This window comes from Homo sapiens, chromosome 12 (genome assembly GCF_000001405.40).
Source record: "Homo sapiens chromosome 12, GRCh38.p14 Primary Assembly".
Taxonomy (NCBI): domain Eukaryota; kingdom Metazoa; phylum Chordata; class Mammalia; order Primates; family Hominidae; genus Homo; species Homo sapiens.
In genome coordinates, this window is record NC_000012.12 from 44499289 (window position 1) to 44517710 (window position 18422).

General features: G+C 36.9%; 1 protein-coding gene across 6 annotated transcripts in view, besides 2 other annotated features; it reads right to left on the minus strand.

Moving 5' to 3' along the window:
- Window positions 3094-3595: an enhancer, noted in NCBI's record as "H3K4me1 hESC enhancer chr12:44896165-44896666 (GRCh37/hg19 assembly coordinates)". NCBI's record gives its function as "activates a minimal SCP1, AML or CMV promoter by ChIP-STARR-seq in naive H9 embryonic stem cells {active_cell/tissue: H9 hESC(naive)}" and the evidence as "EXISTENCE:reporter gene assay evidence [ECO:0000049][PMID:30033119]".
- Window positions 3596-4095: an enhancer, noted in NCBI's record as "H3K4me1 hESC enhancer chr12:44896667-44897166 (GRCh37/hg19 assembly coordinates)". NCBI's record gives its function as "activates a minimal SCP1, AML or CMV promoter by ChIP-STARR-seq in naive H9 embryonic stem cells {active_cell/tissue: H9 hESC(naive)}" and the evidence as "EXISTENCE:reporter gene assay evidence [ECO:0000049][PMID:30033119]".
- Window positions 8987-18422, minus strand: part of NELL2 (neural EGFL like 2) — a 413574-nt gene continuing 404138 nt past the window's right edge. For 4 of the 6 annotated variants that reach the window (NM_001145110.2, NM_001145107.2, NM_001145108.2 and 1 more), the window contains one exon: window positions 8990-9696. In NM_001145110.2, coding sequence (NP_001138582.1) covers window positions 9646-9696 — 51 coding nt within the window. In that variant the 3' untranslated portion in view covers window positions 8990-9645. Of the gene's footprint in view, window positions 9697-18422 lie in introns of all 6 variants that reach the window. The other 2 variants (XM_011538396.2, NM_006159.2) reach the window with 1 other exon arrangement.

Genomic DNA, 18422 nt, shown 5'->3' on the forward strand with positions numbered 1-18422 from the left:
CAGCCATTAAACTTTTACTAACATCTAATAATTTCATTGGAACAATTGTTTCTCCAAAATTTCATGCAAAGGTGGAGATAAAATGATACACACCATGACTGCAACAATGCAAAATGTGTAGGCATGTGAGCCAAGAGAAGATAAATAAAAACAGTAGCAAAGGTGGTGAAATTACAGTGGTGATTTTCTTCCCTTCACAATTTGTCTTTAAAGGAGTAGTACTGTATTTATTTAAATAAAGAATTAGGAATGAAAATTTTTTAGACAGTTCTGTGTATACTTTTTAAAGTCTTGTTTTGATAAAGCTTGTGGTATTTTTACTTGCCTGTGAAAAACTAACTGGCTTAGTTAGGAAAATACAGGTATATATATTTAGGGTAAATTTGTATATATATATTTTATTAAATATATGTATTTATAAAGTAGAAATATAAAAACATAAAATATAAACATGTTTAATCAATTTGTAAACTCATTTTTTGAATGTTAGAAATAGCATTATTTTGAAATAACTGGAATATATGGCATAATATGATACATATCGGCAACACAGTTATGCATCCGTGTACCTGGCACCCCTCGTCCACTTCTTAGGATAACTACTATCCTAATTTGATGTCTGTTATTCCCACACAATTTAATATACTTACACTTGCATAATATATGTCTACACCACATACAGGTTGTTTTTCCCATTTTAAAATTTTATAAATTATCAAAATTATAACGTTTAAAAAATTTATTCCTTGTTATACATGTATATTCTGCATCGTAATTTTGTGTCTGGAATTGGTGGGTTCTTGGTCTTGTTGACTTCAAGAATGAAGCCACGGACCCTCGTGGTGTTACAGTTCTTAAAGATGGTGTGTCCAGAGTTTGTTCTGTCAGATGTTCAGATGTGTCCAGAGTTTCTTCCTTCTGGTGGTGAGAGGTGACAGCATGCTGGCAGCCCTTGCAAGCCCTAGGTCTCTCTTGGTGCCTCCTCGGCCTTGGCACCCACTCTGGCCATGCTTGAGGAGCCCTTCAGCCTGCCACTGCACTGTGGGAGCCCCTTTCTGGGCTGGCCGAGGTCAGAGCTGGTTCCCTCTGCTTGCGGGGAGGCATGGAGGGAGAGGTGGGGGCGGGAACTGGGGCTGCGTGTGGTGCTTGCGGGCCACTGCGAGTTCTGGGTTGAGATGGGCTCCATGGGCCCTGCACTCGGAGCAGCCGGCTGGCGCCACGCCAGGCAGTGAGAGGCTTAGCACCTGGGCCGGTAGCTGTGGAGGGTGCTCCGGGTTCCCCAGCAGTGCCGGGCCGGCGCTTCGCTCAAATTCTCACTGGGCCTTAGCTGCCTCCCTGTGGGGCAGGGCTCGGGACCTGCAGCCTGCCATGGCCGAGCCTCCCACCACCGTGGGCTCCCGCATGGCCCAAGCCTCCCCGATGAGTGCCGCCCCCTGCTCCGTGGCACCGAGGCCCTTCGACCACCCAAGGGCTGAGGAGTGTGGGCATGTGGCGTGGGACTGGCCTGCAGCTCCACCTGTGGCCCTGGTGCGGGATCTACTAGGTGAAGCCAGCTGGGCTCCTGAGTCTAGTGGGGACTTGGAGAACCTTTATGTCTAGCTAAGGGATTGTAAATACACCAATCAGCACTCTAGCTCAAGGTTTGTAAACACACCAATCAGCACCCCCTGTCTAGCTCAAGGTTTGTAAATGCACCAATCAGTGCTCTGTGTCTAGCTGTTCTAGTGGGGACTTGGAGAACTTTTATGTCTAGCTAGAAGATTGTAAATGCACCAATCAGCACTCTGTGTCTAGCTAAAGTTTTGTAAACACACCAATCAGTGCTCTGTGTCTAGCTATTCTAGTGGGGACTTGGAGAACTTTTATGCCTAGCTAAAGGTTTGTAAATGCACCAATCAGCACCCTGTGTCTATCTCAAGGTTTGTAAATGCACCAATCAGTGCTCTGTGTCTAGCTAATCTAGTGGGGACTTGGAGAACTTTCGTGTCTAGCTAAAGGATTGTAAATGTACCAATCGGCACTCTGTGTCTAGCTCAAGATTTGTAAACGCACCAATCAGTGCTCTGTCAAAATGGACCAATCAGCCTTCTATAAAATGGACCAATCAGCTCTCTGTAAAATGGGCCAATCAGCTCTCTATAAAATGGATCAATCAGCAGGATGTGGGTGGGACCAGATAAGGGAATAAAAGAAGGCTGCCCCAGCCAGTAGTGGCAACCTGCTTGGGTCCCCTTCCACACTGTGGAAGCTTTGTTCTTTCGCTCTTTGCAATAAATCTTGCTGCTGCTCACTCTTTGGGTCCGCACTGCCTTTATGAGCTGTAACACTCACCACAAAGGTGTGCAGCCTCACTCCTGAGGCCAGTGAAACCACAAACCCACCAGGAGGAATGAACAACTCCAGATGGAAGGAACGAACAACTCCAGACGCGCCACCTTAAGAGCTGTAATGCTCACAGCGAAGGTCTGCAGCTTCACTCTGGAAGCCAGTGAGACCACGAACCCACCAGAAGGAAGAAACTCTGAACACATCTAAACATCAGAAGGAACAAACTCCGGACACGCTGCCTTTAAGAACTGTAACACTCACCGCAAGGGTCCGGGGCTTCATTCTTGAAGTCAGTGAGACCAAGAACCCACCAATTCTGGACACAGTGGGTTCGTGGTATCAGTGACTTCAGGAGTGAAGCTGCAGACCTTCACGGCGAGTGTTACAGCTCTTAAAGGTGGCGCGTCAGGAGTTGTTCATTCCTTCCTGTGTGTTTGTGGTCTTGCCAGCCTCAGGAGTGAAGCTGCAGACCTTCACGGTGACTGTTACAGTTCATAAAGGTGGTGCGTCCAGAGTTGTTCCTTCCTTCTGGTGGGTTCGTCGTCTCACTGGCTTAAGGAGTGAAGCTGCAGACCTTCGTGGTGAGTGCTACAGGTCTTAAAACACAGCAGGGACCCAAAGAGTGAGCAGCAGCAACATGTATCGCGAAGAGAGAAAGAACAAAGCTTCCATGGCGTGGAAGGGGACCTGAGCAGGTTGCTGCTACTCGCTCAGGTGGCCTGCTTTTATTCCCTTATCTGGCCTCACCTACATCCTGCTGATTGGTCCATTTTACAGAGAGCTGATTGGTCCGTTTTACAGAGAGCTGATTGGTCCATTTTGACAGAGTGCTGATTGGTGCGTTTACAAACCTTTAGCTAGACAGAGTGGTGATTGGTGCATTTACAATCCTTTAGCTAGAGGGAAAAGTTCCCCAAGTCCCCACCTGTCCAAGAAGCCCAGCCAACTTCACCTCTCACTGGCACTCTCTGCCAGACTTTGTGGCTCCTAGCTCTGGCATTCTGGCAGCCCAGAGAGAGGTTGCCCCAGACAACCAAGAGGAAAAGAGGGGAAGCGAGAAAGAGACAGAGACCCACCATCCTGGCCAACAACCCTGCGAAGAGGGAAATTGGCAGTCCATGCACAGGACCCAGCCTCTGATCAAGCCCAGCAGGCACAGGCTGGCCACGTGGAGTGTGGGGCCCTCCAAGCCGCGCCCACCCAGAACCTAGGCCAGCCTGCCAGCGCGGCTTGCAGTCCCGGCTCCCACCTGTGCCTCTCCCTCCACACCTCCCTGCGAGCAGAGGGAGTCGGCTCCAGCCTTGGCCAGCCCCAGAGAGGGGCCCCCACAGCACAGCGGCCGGCTTAAGGGCTCCTCGAGCATGGCCAGAGTGGACGCTGAGGCTGAAGAGGCACAGAGAGCAAGCAAGGGCTGCTAGCACGTTGTTACCTCTCAATTTTTCTAAACATTGTTTGTGAGACTCATTCTTGTTGGTATATGTAGTTTTATTTATTTTCATTCGAGTATTCCAAATAAACATACCACATTTTGTTTATCAATGACTGTATTAACATTTGAATGGTTTCCAGTATTCTGTTATTACAAATAAAGCTGTTATAAACATCTTCTTGTCCATGTGTATGAGAATTCTTCTATATCACTTCTGTTGAATAGAACATTTTACAATTATAGAAATGTTCATTGTGCTGCCCAATAGAGTAGTCACTAGTCACAGAGTAGCTACTGAGCTCTTGAAATGTGGCTCATGCAAATGGAGAACTGAATGTAATTTAATTTTAATACATTTTAATTTAATAGCCACAAATGGCCAGTGGCTACTGCATTGAACAGTGCAGTTCTAGATCATGTACTTGGGAGTATATACTGAGTCATGCACATCTTCAACTTTCTGCACTGCAAAGTTACCCTCCAAACTGGTTTGGAGATGTGTGTATAGTGTACAAGCACAGTATTCCTGTTGTTTCATATGCTCACCAATATCTGGTGTTATATTACTTTTTAATTTTGTCATTTTTGCCTATTGCATCATTGTGGTTTTAATATACATTTACTTGATTACTAGTGACCCTAAGCAAATTTTACATGCTTGTTAGTCATTCTGGGATTTCCTTTCTTGTAGCATACCTAGGCATTGCTTCTGATCATTTTTCTGTTGGATGCATTGTACTTTTCTTCTTTTTAGGACATATATATATATATATATATATATGCATATATATATGCTTTTTGAGTTTATTTAAAAGTATTCTAAAGCCAAAAACAATTCTAATTTTTTTTCATAAATTTATTTTATTTTTCACATTTTGGTCTTTCTCTTATGTGGAATTTATTTTTATGAAATAAGGATCAATGTCTATGTTTTTGCTTTCCCATAATCAATTTCACAGCCTCGCTCAGTGTAACTTCTATCCTCTATCAAGTATCTATATGTGTATAGGATGGTTTCTGAGTTTTTGATGAAAATGTTCATGTTATCTAGCTTGTCTATTCCTAAAACAATGACTCTTAATTCCTATAGCTTTATACCTTCTTGATACATGGTAGAATAAGTATCCCCTGTCTCCAAATAGAATCTTTTCTCAAAGTATTCCTGGCTATTCTTGGACATTTGTTTTTCTATAATAGTTTACAATCACCTTAAAATAACATTTTTAAAATTATAACTACTGGGGAGAATTGATATTTTTGTGACATTGTCTTTCTGCCCATTATTTCATTAAATTGAATATTCTTTCATGTTAAATCCTTTTGATTCTCATTATTACCATCCTAGTCCAAACCATTATTCTCTTGTCTGAAATTCTGTGGTATGAATGTGCCTCCTGAGTACATGTTCACCAACACCGCTCGTTTCTCCCCCAACCCCACCTGTTTGTTCTCCACATAGTAACAAGACAGATCATTTTACCTGTCATATTATAGCACAGCTATGCTCAAAACTCGCTAATGCCTCCTATGTCACTAAGAATAAAAACACAAATCGCTAACCATGGCCTAGGAGAACCTGATTTGGTCACTCCTCTGACAGCATCTTCTACATGTTTCCACGTTCTCATTCCACTCAAGACATGTAGGTGTGCTTCCACCTCAGACCTGTGCACACTGTTCCCTCTGCTTGTAACTCCTTCCCTCCAGGTATGAAAATGGCTCCAGGTATGAAAATGGCTCATGCTGTCACCTCATCCAAGTATTTGCCCCAATACTATTTTGTTGTGGAGAGGACTTCCTGTCCAACCAACCTAAATGATCACCCCTCTCCACAACAGTATCCCAAGCCAGCTTAACTTTTCTTCTAGCTCTTATCACCACCTGAAATGGTATCTATTTATTTGTTGATTTTCTTTCTCCTCCATTAGGACATGTACTTTATGAGTCAGCAATAAATGAATGCTTATGCTTTGCACATACTTTGTTCATTATTTTTCTTTTCTTTCTCTATGGCTGTGGTTTTGTGAAAGAAAGAGAAAAAGCCTCAAAAATAAACTCACTATCATTTCTGCTTTTACATAGAATTATACTCTTATTTCAGGCTGCTTTTCTAAAACACCTAACATTGGAGATAAATAAGAGGTCATGTTTTAAATGCAATATATTGGTGGTGGCAGTAACATAGCGTGCCATCCATCATTTGGAATAAATAAAAATTTCAGACTCTGTCATGCAAACAATCTCTGTGAACAATTATTTAATACAAATACAAAGACAAAAGATATGGGGGAGTTGTCCCAGCCTGGCAAGTAGAGAGAATATAAGAAACTGCAACTCAGATTATCCTGTTCCAAACTTCTCCAATAGTTCTATTCCTTGCCTACTTATGTCACCACCAATCCGGAGCTACTGTAGCCCAAGGAATTCCTGACTTTCTACCTGCAGGTCTATTAAGTAAGGGCAATTATTCTGCAAAGAGGTGACAACTCCTTTATGGAAAATGTTGAATTCTAGGGTAGAAAACTGTGCAGTAATGAAATGTCAGTAAGACCACAAGGAGCCAACTCCACTGCAATGGTGACTGCAGACAGGGAGTGTCCAGGTACCACAGTGAACAAAGTGGGTACAGAGCACAGCATCCACTTACTGTCTTCAGGGATGCTTTTGGCATGACTCTCTCAAGAGATCAATTTACTGTTGAGCTACAACACTCTACATTTGAAAAAATGGAAAATAAAAAGTCTTTCTTTAAGAACAGTTGGTATTGTCAATCCTTAAGCTACCTACATCAACAGGACTGGGACCATGCAGGTATCTGTGGGATGTGCCGACCTTCAGAGGAAGTCCTAACTAGTCAGCAATGTGGAGCTTTGATAGATGAGGTCATGCTTAGTGAACTGAAGCTCATATTTTATTCAGTAGATGTAACCTCAGTTTTATTCAACTGAATAACTTCCGCTACTCCAACACTCAAGAGTATTGACTGCTGTTTTAGAGCTTTGATATGCCATTCATTTTGTAAAGGCAATTTACAGGGTGTTTCAACTTTGGCTATAGATAACCAAGTTATGGGAAGGATGAAAGGGTTCCATGATATTGCAGTATAATTGAACAAATGCATGACTCTTTTTACCATTATATAAGGCAAACCAAAAAAAGCAATATGGCAGTCTTTTAAAAAGGGAGATAAACTATACAGGTTACTAAACCAAAGAATCATAGCGAAATATTCTTTTTTTTTTTTTTTTTTTTTTTTTTGCAGAAAAGGGGAAATAAAGAAAATGGAGTAAAGACTATTTTCACCAAGGCCTGCCCTTAAAGGAGCTAAGCACCCTCAAAATAAATTCATGCTTCTTAGCTCTCACTTTCCCTTAATATTGGCACAACTCAGCCATGGCATTCTGCCAATTATCATCAGAGTGAGAAATGGGGTATTAACCTTCCCTTTTTCAAGGAACAAAGTTCTTAAGAAACAATTGATTACTGCTTGCCCAGGGCCTGCACATGAAACAGTAATTCTCCTGGGGAATCTACTATTTGTGGAGTAAACCTTGAAGAAAAAAAAATTCAATCTGAATTCATGTGTTGCTTTAATAGTCGTTGAATTATCATAGTCTTGTATTTTCCTTCTTTTCTTCTTAACTATGAGTTTTCTTTCACTCAGCGGCCTATAGAAACCAAGGATCTGCAAGCCACCAATATGCCCAGAGCCCTACAAAGATTTCCAAAGGATTTGTAATATAAAATTCCAGCCTTGCTTCTCCTTCCAGAAGGACATATCTAAATGACAAATATGTATCTATATGGGTGTATACACACACACACACACACACACACACACTTTCCTACACACATTTCTTACTCTCTTATAAAAATGAGTAAAGTATACTTTTTCAGGAGGATTCAATATGAAATCACAAAGCTATATAAGGAAAAAATAACTTGAAAAAACTTCAAATTAACAGATATCTTCTTGGAAGCTAAATTGCTATTTACCATTGTAATACAGCTGACAAAAAATAAACCTTATGCTCTGTTGAATTAAATTAAATTAAACATAAAAAGGCTACAGAAAAATCATTTATGATAAATTCAGGGAATATAGCTACTTGATTTTACACATTCAATAAATATTACCATGCCAAACTATGAAGACATTTTTGAATTATCTTTCAACTCAGCTCGTGCTAGGTTGTTTCCATAGCAATAGTGAGTGAACAGTTAAAAGCCACTTTATCATTTCTGTAGCTTGCGGTGGTCACCTTGTGTTCATTTTAATTTTTTTTTAAAAAATGCCTCTATGCATCGAAAATTAATTTGACAATACTTATATTTCCTTTTCACCCTAGTGTAAAACATAACAGGGCAATATTGGATTGGCTTCCTTTATTGAGTTTCAGGATGTTTACTTTTATCCCCTCTGACATTCTGGTGCATCAAAATATTTAACATGTAATTAATATCATAATATCTTTTAACATTGATATTTTTAAAAATTTTATATCAAAACGTGAAGGACCAATTCTTGAAGACATTCTCAACCTCACATACTGCTCTCCTTATGTGTATCAGTTAGAATCCTGGCAGGAAACAGATGGCACACTCAAGCTGGCTAATTAAAGAGTATAACAAAGGGACCATTTATAAAGATATGCCTAGAAATAGAGAAAACAAGATTGAACAGTTACCTCCCAAGGACAGAATAGCCAGAGCTGTTAATATCCCTAAGCCAGAAGATGCAAACAGTAGAAGTTATCAGAACCTGGTGAGGCAGTGAGACAGAGAGGAGTACCTTTCAAGAGATATAACCTTCAGTAAGGTGACACACCAAATCATGGCGGTGGCCAGGCAGGAAGGGAGCCAGCGGAATAAATATCCAAACTTGACCTCTTCCTAATATGCCAGCTGTGTTTCCTGCTGCAGTATAATTGAAACCAGACAAGAATCAAGAGGAAAAGGAACCCACTATTAGGGTCTGTATAGGTCAGCCACCCCAGGATGCACAGCAGGGTAGAAAGGGTGAAATTGAGGATCTAGAGAGGAAGAACTAAGTTATCCATCACATCCCTTACTTAGGCATATCATTTTCAATTTGGAAATTTGGAAATAGCAACTTTCAATTTAGAAATAACATAGCAGGAGTTTATCATCAGCAGAACTAGAATGCAATTTTTATAGAATCATCTGTGGAAAAGAGGAACATATTAAACAAGATACTCAGACTCACATGTGTTATAAGGTAAGAGAAATATTTATTTAATTTTGCACAAGAACGAGCTTATACTGAACAAATTCAACCAAATAATATTAAGTGCAGTAAAACAAGGAAATAGGGATGACTTTTCCTGTTAGAAAATATTAAGTAACCATGCCTGTGCATTATTTTTATCATTACAATAACTTGTTTCAGATTTCTTTTCAGAGTGTACTGTACATAACATGTTATAGCTTCTTTGCTTTACTTCTGAAAATATAATTCATTCACTGCCTGACATTTTATTTCTTGCAGTGAGGAACCTAACTGATTCTTGAAGATTCTGATCTAGAGGAAAATTTTCTGCACCAGTGAAGCTAGAGGCTTTCACAGATCCAATGGGCTCAGGCTTTCTATCCAGGGTTCAGGATGTCACGGTATATACTGTACGCCCATTCTTCTACATGGTGATGTGAGACACAGTAGAGGCAGACTTGAGGTCTAATTTTGCCCCAGTAATTTTCCTTTTGTGATTTTGTCAAGCTCCACAAATTTCATAATTGAAAGTTCACTCAGCTATTAACAAAGCTGCATTTAGCTGCCCACAAATCACCCAATTTAAGTTTTAACTTCTTTTTGGTCTTTTAATGAAAGAACATTCTTTTAACAGAAATCTCCCATGAGACAGTTAACTTCACAGTTCCTGAAGGCACTGTGGATCCACTGAGCAACAGATGTGGCCATTCTAGATTTAAAAAAAGTAGAAAGAAAAACAGTATGAATTTTTAAGCCATTAGTAAATGATCACATTTATTGATTGGTACTTACAAACAAAACTGTATAATTTATTTCTGCATTCCTAAAAATTCAATGGCCCAATCACTTTTCATGACTCTACTATTGCAGACTCAATTATTATGCCCATTGTATTTGTGGGAAGTCATAAACTGGCTTTATTTACTCATTGGCATCCTCTGTATCACATTTGTTCTTTCATTTATTTGCAAAATATGTACTAAGTCTATGTAAGCACTAAGTATATTAATAAATAAAGCAGACATGGTCACTAACCTCACAGAGCAGGGTTTGCAGTTTATCTAGGGAGAAAACTAGTAAGTACCATGCAAACATATAATCAAAAATTGTGAAAAGTGCTAGAAAGGTGCTATGAACTAAATGTTTGCATCCTCTTAAAACCCACATGTTGAAATCCTAATCCCCAGTGTGATGGTATTAGGAGGTAAAGCCTTTGAGAGGTAATTAGTGAATGAGGGTAGAGCACTCATGAATGGGATCAGTGCCCTTACAAAAAGATGAGAACACATGCGTCCTCTCTCTCTATCTACCATGTGATACAATGAGAAATGGCCATCTGCAAACAGGAAGTGTGTCCTTGGAGATACCAGATCTGCCAGGGTCTGGATCTTGGAATGTGAGAAATGAATTTCTCAGCCTCCAAAATTGTGGGGAATGAATTGTCGTTGTTTAAGCCACCCAGTCTATGGTATTCTGTTACAGCAGCCTGAACTGACTAAGACAAAAGGAAATACACTAGGTGGTTGTGTGAGATTAATAAAAGACTAGCTACTTAGTCAATGTCCAGGGTAGACTGTTCTGTGAGGTGATATTTAAACCGAGACCTGGAGACTGCATGAAAAGGTGGCCAAACGCACAGAGGAGAGTTTTGTGTAGTTAAGAAACTGAAAAAAAGCTTTGGGTAAGAATTTTCAGTTAGGGAAGAAAACTGTGGTGATGAAATAGGATAAATAGGCAGGGAAGGGCCAGATATGCATAATTAGTTTTTGATATAAGGTATCAAAACAATATAGTGTTGTACAAAGAAGAAAAACCTTCTATCCTATTCTTTTGATTCCCTGCACTCTTACTTTTCTCAACCAGCTAACTCATAGATAATGTTAATATCGTTTTTAAAACCGTGATGATGATAATATCCCTCCATTCCTTAAGTGTGTACTCTGTGTCAGACACTTTGCCAGGCATTTAAAATACATTATCTAATTTCAACCGCACAGCATTCCCAGTTGGATTCCTATTAATAGTCACACGTTTTAGATTCAGAAACTGAAGATCAGAAAGCTTAAATATCATGTCCAAAATCACACAGCTAGTAAATGGTAGAGCTAGGATTAAAACTCAGGCTAGCCTGACTCTAAAATACATCCTCCATTATATAGTTTCTCTCAGAAAATTGGCTTTTGATGATTGAAATGCATTATACTTTAATATGATAAAAACTGAAAGTGTCTTTGTTTCTATAAAAGGAAACCTGAAAAGATTTTGATAGTCTAGCCTTTGCTAAAGCACACTGATGAGGAAAAAGCCAGTATATATCCAAGAAGAATATTATCAGTTTAACTTATTTGCATCTTTTCTAACTTATTATTAAGCTGAGTTCATATTCTGGCAGTGACAGACTCAACCATTTCTTAGACCCCTAGTGGCATTTTAAAGTTTTGTCATCATATCTCCAGCCCCTAACATATTCCTAGAGACAGAACTGTTCGATTGAGACTTGTAGAACTCAGCTGTGCCCTAGAATCTCCAAGATGCCCCAGGCTGGAACCATCTTTGCCTCTCCTGTCTGACAAAGGCCACTCTGAGGTGCCGGCTCAGAGGCACAGGTTTTCTGACCATAACCAGGTCACACAATCTTTCTTAATTCATTGGCCCAACAAAGTGATGGGTGTACCAGTTCCTGGGAATATCAGCTCCTCAAATTATATGGCTTTGGAGCAGAAATATAATTAGGGAATTTCTGGAGCTTTCCATCACTGAGTATGTGCAATTAGCATTAGAACCCTATGGGGAAGAAACCATTAATATTGCACCCATAAGTATGTCTTAGGAAGGGTTTCTTTGTTTTCTAAAATCTTCCAGGAGTGTGTTGCTTATTCCATATTGGATATGTTCTGCTATAACAGGATTCTACAAACCATATCAATGGCAGCTCCTTAATTAGGGAAGCATGGACAACTAATAAAGCATCCTACTTGGGTTCCAGTTTTACTGATAGCATAGTTTCTTATATAAGACTAACCCTCCTATAGATAACAACTATAAAGTCTGAACAAAATACAAAAATAACAATTGAAAGCAATAGAGAGTGTCAGGCAGACACTACAGCAGTTTCAATCTTTGAAAGAAGGAAAATGTACTGTGTGAGTGTTGTTTTCACTTGGTATTCCCCCTTAGGGCACTCCCCAGTCTGTGCAGCTTGAGATAACTATAAGGAAAGCAGAAAGCCACAATCTCACTGAGGTGTCAGAGGACAGCTTGGGAGTTGTCAGAGTGGCTGGAAATTGAGGGGGAAATATCTATAAAAGAAGAAGTGAATCAGTAAACAAACTCCTTTTAAATCCTTGGCTGATCTTTGAGTTGCAGAAGAGATTCTAAAGAGCAAATCAAGAGAGCCACAGTTTGAAGGTTGAAAGATATGAGAAGAGCTTTCAGATGCTGCTCACTGAAGCAGTGCGTCAGATCTGTGTCCTTCTAAGATATAAAGGATTGATAAACAGTTTAAGTTTTCCTTAGACTTCTATCTCTCACCACCTATAAAAAATCAACTAAAAATGGATTAAAGATTTACATGTAGTATTAATACCTGCAACTATAAAACTACTAGAAGAAAACATAAGACAAATGCTTCAGGACACAGGTCTAGGCAAATATTTTATGAGTGAGACCACAAAAGCACAGGCAACAAAAACAAAAATAGATAAATGAGACTATATCAAACTAAAAAGCTTCTGCACAGCAAAGAAAAAAATCAACAGAATGAAGAGACAACTTGCAGAATGGAAGAAAATATTTGCAAACTATTCATCTGACAAGAGATTCATACCCAGAATGTACAGGGAACTCAAATAACAGCAAAACACTGCAAGTAATCCAATTAAAAATGGGCAAAGGATTTGAACAGATATTGCTGAAAAGAAGTCATACAAATGACCAACACATATATTAAAAATGCTCAACATCACTAATCATCAGGGAAACGCAGGTCAAAACCACAATGAGCTATCATCTCACTCCAGTTAGAACAGCTTTTATTAAAAAGGAACAAATTACAAATGCTGGTGAGGATGCAGAGAAACAGGAACCCTTGTGCACTGTTGGTGGGACTGTAAATTAGTAGAGCCATTATAAAAAACAGTATGAAAGTTTCTCAAAAAACTAAAATAGATCTAACATATGATCCAGCAATCTCACTACTGGGTTTTTACTGAAAGGAAAAAAAAAATCAGTATATTGAAGATATATCTGAACCCCCATGCAGTATTTTTCACAATCACCAAGATATGTAATCAACCTAAATGTCTATCAACAGATGAATGAACAAAGAAAATGTGGCATATATCCACAATGGAATACCATCCAGACATAAGAAGAATGAAATCTTGTCATTTTCAACAACATGGATGAGACTTGGAGGACATTATGTGAAATAAGCCAGGTGCAGAAAGATACATACTACATGTTCTCTCTTATATGTTGGAGCTAAAAAATTCATCTTATAGAAGAAGAATTATGGTGATCAGAAGCTAGGAGGAGTATAGGGGAGAGGAGGATAGGAAGATGTTGGTTAAAGTATACAAAATTACACAGCTAGATAGGAGGAATAAGTTCTAGTGTTCTATAACACTGTAGGATAAATATAATTAATAATAATTTATTGTATATGTTCAGAAATCTAGAAGAAAGGATTTTGAATGTTCCCACCACAAAGTAATAAATGCTTGAGGTAAAAAATACCCTAATTACCCTGATCATTGCATACTGTACATATGTATCAACACTCTGTACCCCCATAAATATGTGCAACCACTATGTGTCAACCAAACATAAAAGGAAAAACCAAATAATCCAAGCTTTCCATTGAAGGCCTAAAAGGGCCATGATTAGGTGTAAAACAATACCTACAGATTAAGAGATTCATGCTAAAACTAAAGGTAAATTTGAAACAGACCCCCCCTAACTGGTGTAAAGCCAACCTCTAATAAGTGCTAGGTTATTGGCTAATAATTTACAACCTGCTAGAACAAAAACAGTCTTCACAAGAAGCCAATGGAACCTATGATCTATAAAACATATCATCCATCATATCCAATATATTATAAAAATTAATAGACGTGAAGAAAAACAGGAAAATGTGGCTCCTAATGAAGAGAAAAAGCAGTGAATGGAAAATGACTCGAAGATGATCCAGATGTTGTAATTAGCAAAGACTGGAAAGTATCTATCATAAATATGCTCAAAAATGTTAAAAGATACAGTCATAATGAATGAATAAATGGTAAAACTTGGCAGAGAAATTAAACTACTAAAAATTAAGTGGAAATTCTGGAACTGAAAAATGCAATATCTGAAATGAAAAGATTCACTGGATGAACCTAATAGCAGATTAGAGATGGCAGAAGAAAAAGCCAGTAAATTTGAAGACAAAGCAATAGAAATTATCCAATCCATAAAACAAAGACAAAAATATTGAAATAAAAATAGAACTTTAGTGACCTTTAGGATAATTAAACCATCTAAGCGAATGTTTAATTGGAGTCTCAGAAAACTATGAGAGAAAAAAATGTGGCAGACAAAATATGTGAAAAAACGATGGCTCAACTTTTCTCAAGTTTGGTGAAATGACATCAACTTAGATATCCAAAAAGCCCAGCAAACACCAAAGAAAATAAAGACCAAAAAAAAAAAAAATTAGACCTAAGTGCATCATAGTCAAACTACTAAAAACAAAGATAGAGAATCATGAAAGGAAAAAGTAGGGGAAAAAAGAAATACTGCATACAAGGGAATAAAAAAACAAATGATCACTGTATCAGAAACAATGGAAACTAGAAAATAATAGAATATCACCTTTAAAGTTCTGGAAACAAATCTGTCAATCCTGAATTCTATGTCCAGTGAAAATATTCTTCAAATATAAAGACACTTTCAGATAAATAAGAGTTGAAAGAACTTGTTACTAGCACACCTGCAATAAGGAAAATGCTAAGGAGTGTTATTCAAGCTGAAGGGAATGTAACCAGATGGAGACTCCAATATGTAAGAAGAAATGAAGAGTACCAGAAATGGTAAATACGGTAGTCTTTCCTTATCTGCAGTTTATCTTTCCACAGTTTCAGTTACCTGTGGTCAACCATGGCCCAAACAAGTGAGTAAAATGTATGATAAAACATTTTGACAGAGAGAGATAGAGAGAGAGACAGAGATCACATTCACATAATTTTTATTACAGTATATTATTATAATTATATTTTATTATTAGTTATTGTTGTCAATCTCTTACTGTGCCAACTTATAAATTAAATTTTATTGTAGGTATGTATAGAAAAAACATAGTATATATAGTGTTTAATAAGGTTCAGTATATTGTGGTTTCAGGCATCCACTTGGAGTCTTGGAACGTATATCCCTTGTGGAAAAAGGAGCTATTACTATATGTGAATAAATATAAAATATACCATTTTTCTTTTCTTAATTTCTTCAAAAGACATAAAACTTATTAAAGCAAAAATAATAACATGGAACTGTAGGATTTATAGTGAACAGAGTTGTAAAATATATTACTGTTTTAGCACAAAAGCTATGGGGATAAAATCATAATGTTGCAAAGTTCTTATATTTTATATGAGTAGTATAATACTATACCTAATTATAATATAATAAGTTAATGATATATATTATAATCCGTAGGACAACAAATACAATAATAATATGAAAAGTTATAGTTTAAAATCCAATAGAACAATTTAGATAAAATAAAAATGTTATTAAAGAAAAAGAAGGCAGGAATGGATAAACAGGTGTATAAAATATAGATAGGACAAATAGAAAACAAATGACAAAATGGTAGTCCTAAATCCATCAGTGTCACAAATTACATTAAATGTAAATAAACAAAACACTTTAATAAAAGACAGATTTTCACACTAGGTGAAAAATAAGAACAATACATTTTCTATTAAAAATGCACTTTAAATATAAAACCGTTGACAGATTGGAAGTAGATGAACAAAACAATATACTATGTGGCTAAATAAATATTAGACAAAATTAATTTCAAGTCAAGAAGCCTTGCTAGAGATAAGGAGGGACATTACATAACAACAAAATGGTCAATTCAACAGAAGATATAAATGAGTACAAGCTGTGTAATTCAATTCATATGAAATTTTATAACAGGCAAAATGAATTTATTACAAAGAAATAAAATTAAGGTTGTCTACTGAAAGTAGGTGTTACCTGAAAGGGGATCCAAAGGTACTCTCTGGAGTGTTGGATATATTCTGTATTTTGATTTATCAAACTCATCAAACTATATACTTAACTGTGAATTTCACTATAATAAATATTAACTTGATAAAAATGAAAATAAAAGTGACTCACTGAAACTCAGTCTGACTACTAGGAATAATAAGCACCTACTATCAAAACTCATTATAAAAAGTAATTATTTTTATATAGTGACACAGTAAAATAAGTTTCCTTAAGACCCTGCTATTTTTGGCTATATTTATTGTTAAAGAAGTCCTTGCCACTCTTCATGCTAACCTTTGAAAATCAAGATTAGAAGACAGTCAACTTTTAATTTTCAGCTACACTTATATTTTTTAATCCTATTACTATTGATATTTCAATATGTTTTAATAGAGTCCATTTCCTTTATTTTCAAGATTTTTGTAGTTAAATAAAGTGAATATGTAATTATACATAATATTTTTTGTTTGTTTTCATTATTATCATGACCAGTACTTTTTTTTATTATACTTTAAGTTTTAGGGTACATGTGCACAACGTGCATAATATTTTTATCTTAATTTTTATTATAAGCATTGTGATTACTTCAACAGCTGAATAATAATATATGATCTTCTAATATGTAATTAGAATATATTATATAAGTATAACACATCATATAATTGCATTGTATACAAAGTTACTATAACTTATTTAACTGTTCTATTGTTGGATATTTTCGTTTCTTCCTTAATTCTGTATGACAATGTTGAGATGGATATTGGCATGTATATAGCTTGTTTTATACTTTGATTATTTCTTTAGGTTAGATTCTCAGACCTGGGATTAAAGAGAACAATATATTTGTGTGTGTATATGGGGGTGCGGATAGTATGTGTTGCATTGTGTATTTTTTAATGATATTAACAGTGCACAAAAATAATAATTCCAGTATATCTCTGTCAGCATTAGAAATTATTAGGAGAAACTTTTTTACTATAGTATGTGAAAATAATTATTTATAATTTTAGTTTACAATTAAGGTTCAATTATTTAAAGGCTCAATGATTTCCTCTTTTATTTTAGTAGGTGTACTTTTTTAGTGAGTTGTTTATTTATCCTTTGCAGATTTATTTATGGGGGAAATAATTGCTTTCCAAAAAAGTTTTAGAGGCAAGGTCTTACTTTGTCACCCAAGGTGGAGTGCAGTGGCATGATCATGGCTGACTGCAGCCTTGAACGCCTAGGCTCAAGTGGGCCTTCTGAGCAGTTGGGATTATAGGTATGAGCCTCTGCACCCAGCAGTAAGTGCTTTTCTTATTAATGTTTATGTTTTTAATCTAACAAAGAAACCAAATCTGCTGAAGCTGTTTTTCTAGTATGTAGTTGTGACTTTTTTTTTTTTTTTGCTAATTTTATGTATCTATAGAAGCACTAATCTTTTCTTTCAGGTATATTTTATCACTGATAAATTTTAAAAAGTATCTCCCTTCTAGAGTTTTGATAAATATTTAATTATATTTTCTTTATTTTAATTTATTTTAATATTTAACACTTTTTCCATGTGGAATTTGTTTTGATATGTAACATAATTTTTATAACTGTGTGTTATTTCCCTCAAATTGTTATTTAGTCATTCCATTATTTGTGAAATAATGTTTTCTTCCTCCATTGATCTGCAAAGTCCTGATCATATATTAAAAGCTTTATTATAATATTGCTTATTTATAGGTATTTTTTCCTTAGATCGAGTTATCTATTCTAATGTTAGAACAGAGGTCCACTGGCACAACTTCAAGTTTGTAGTTTTTGATAGATAAAGGCAACATTTACAAATGTCTGGTACCTACCCACCAACTACTTTCTCTCTCTCTCTCTCTCTCTCTCTCTCTCTCTCTCTCTCTCTCTCTCTCGTTCCCACTCTTGCCATGTGAAATGCCTTCCCCGAAGCAGACCATGGTACTGTTTCCTATAGACCCTGCAGAACTGTAAGCCAATTAAACCCCTTTTCTTTGTAAATTACCCAAGCTCAAGTATTTCTTTATAGCAATGCAAGAATGGCCTTACACAGTGTGCTATCTAATATGACAGCCAGTAGCCACATGTGGCTATTGTGCAGTTGAAATGTGGCTAGTGTAACTAATAAATTAAAATTTTCATATTATTTAATTTTAATTAATTAAAATTTAAATAGCCACATGT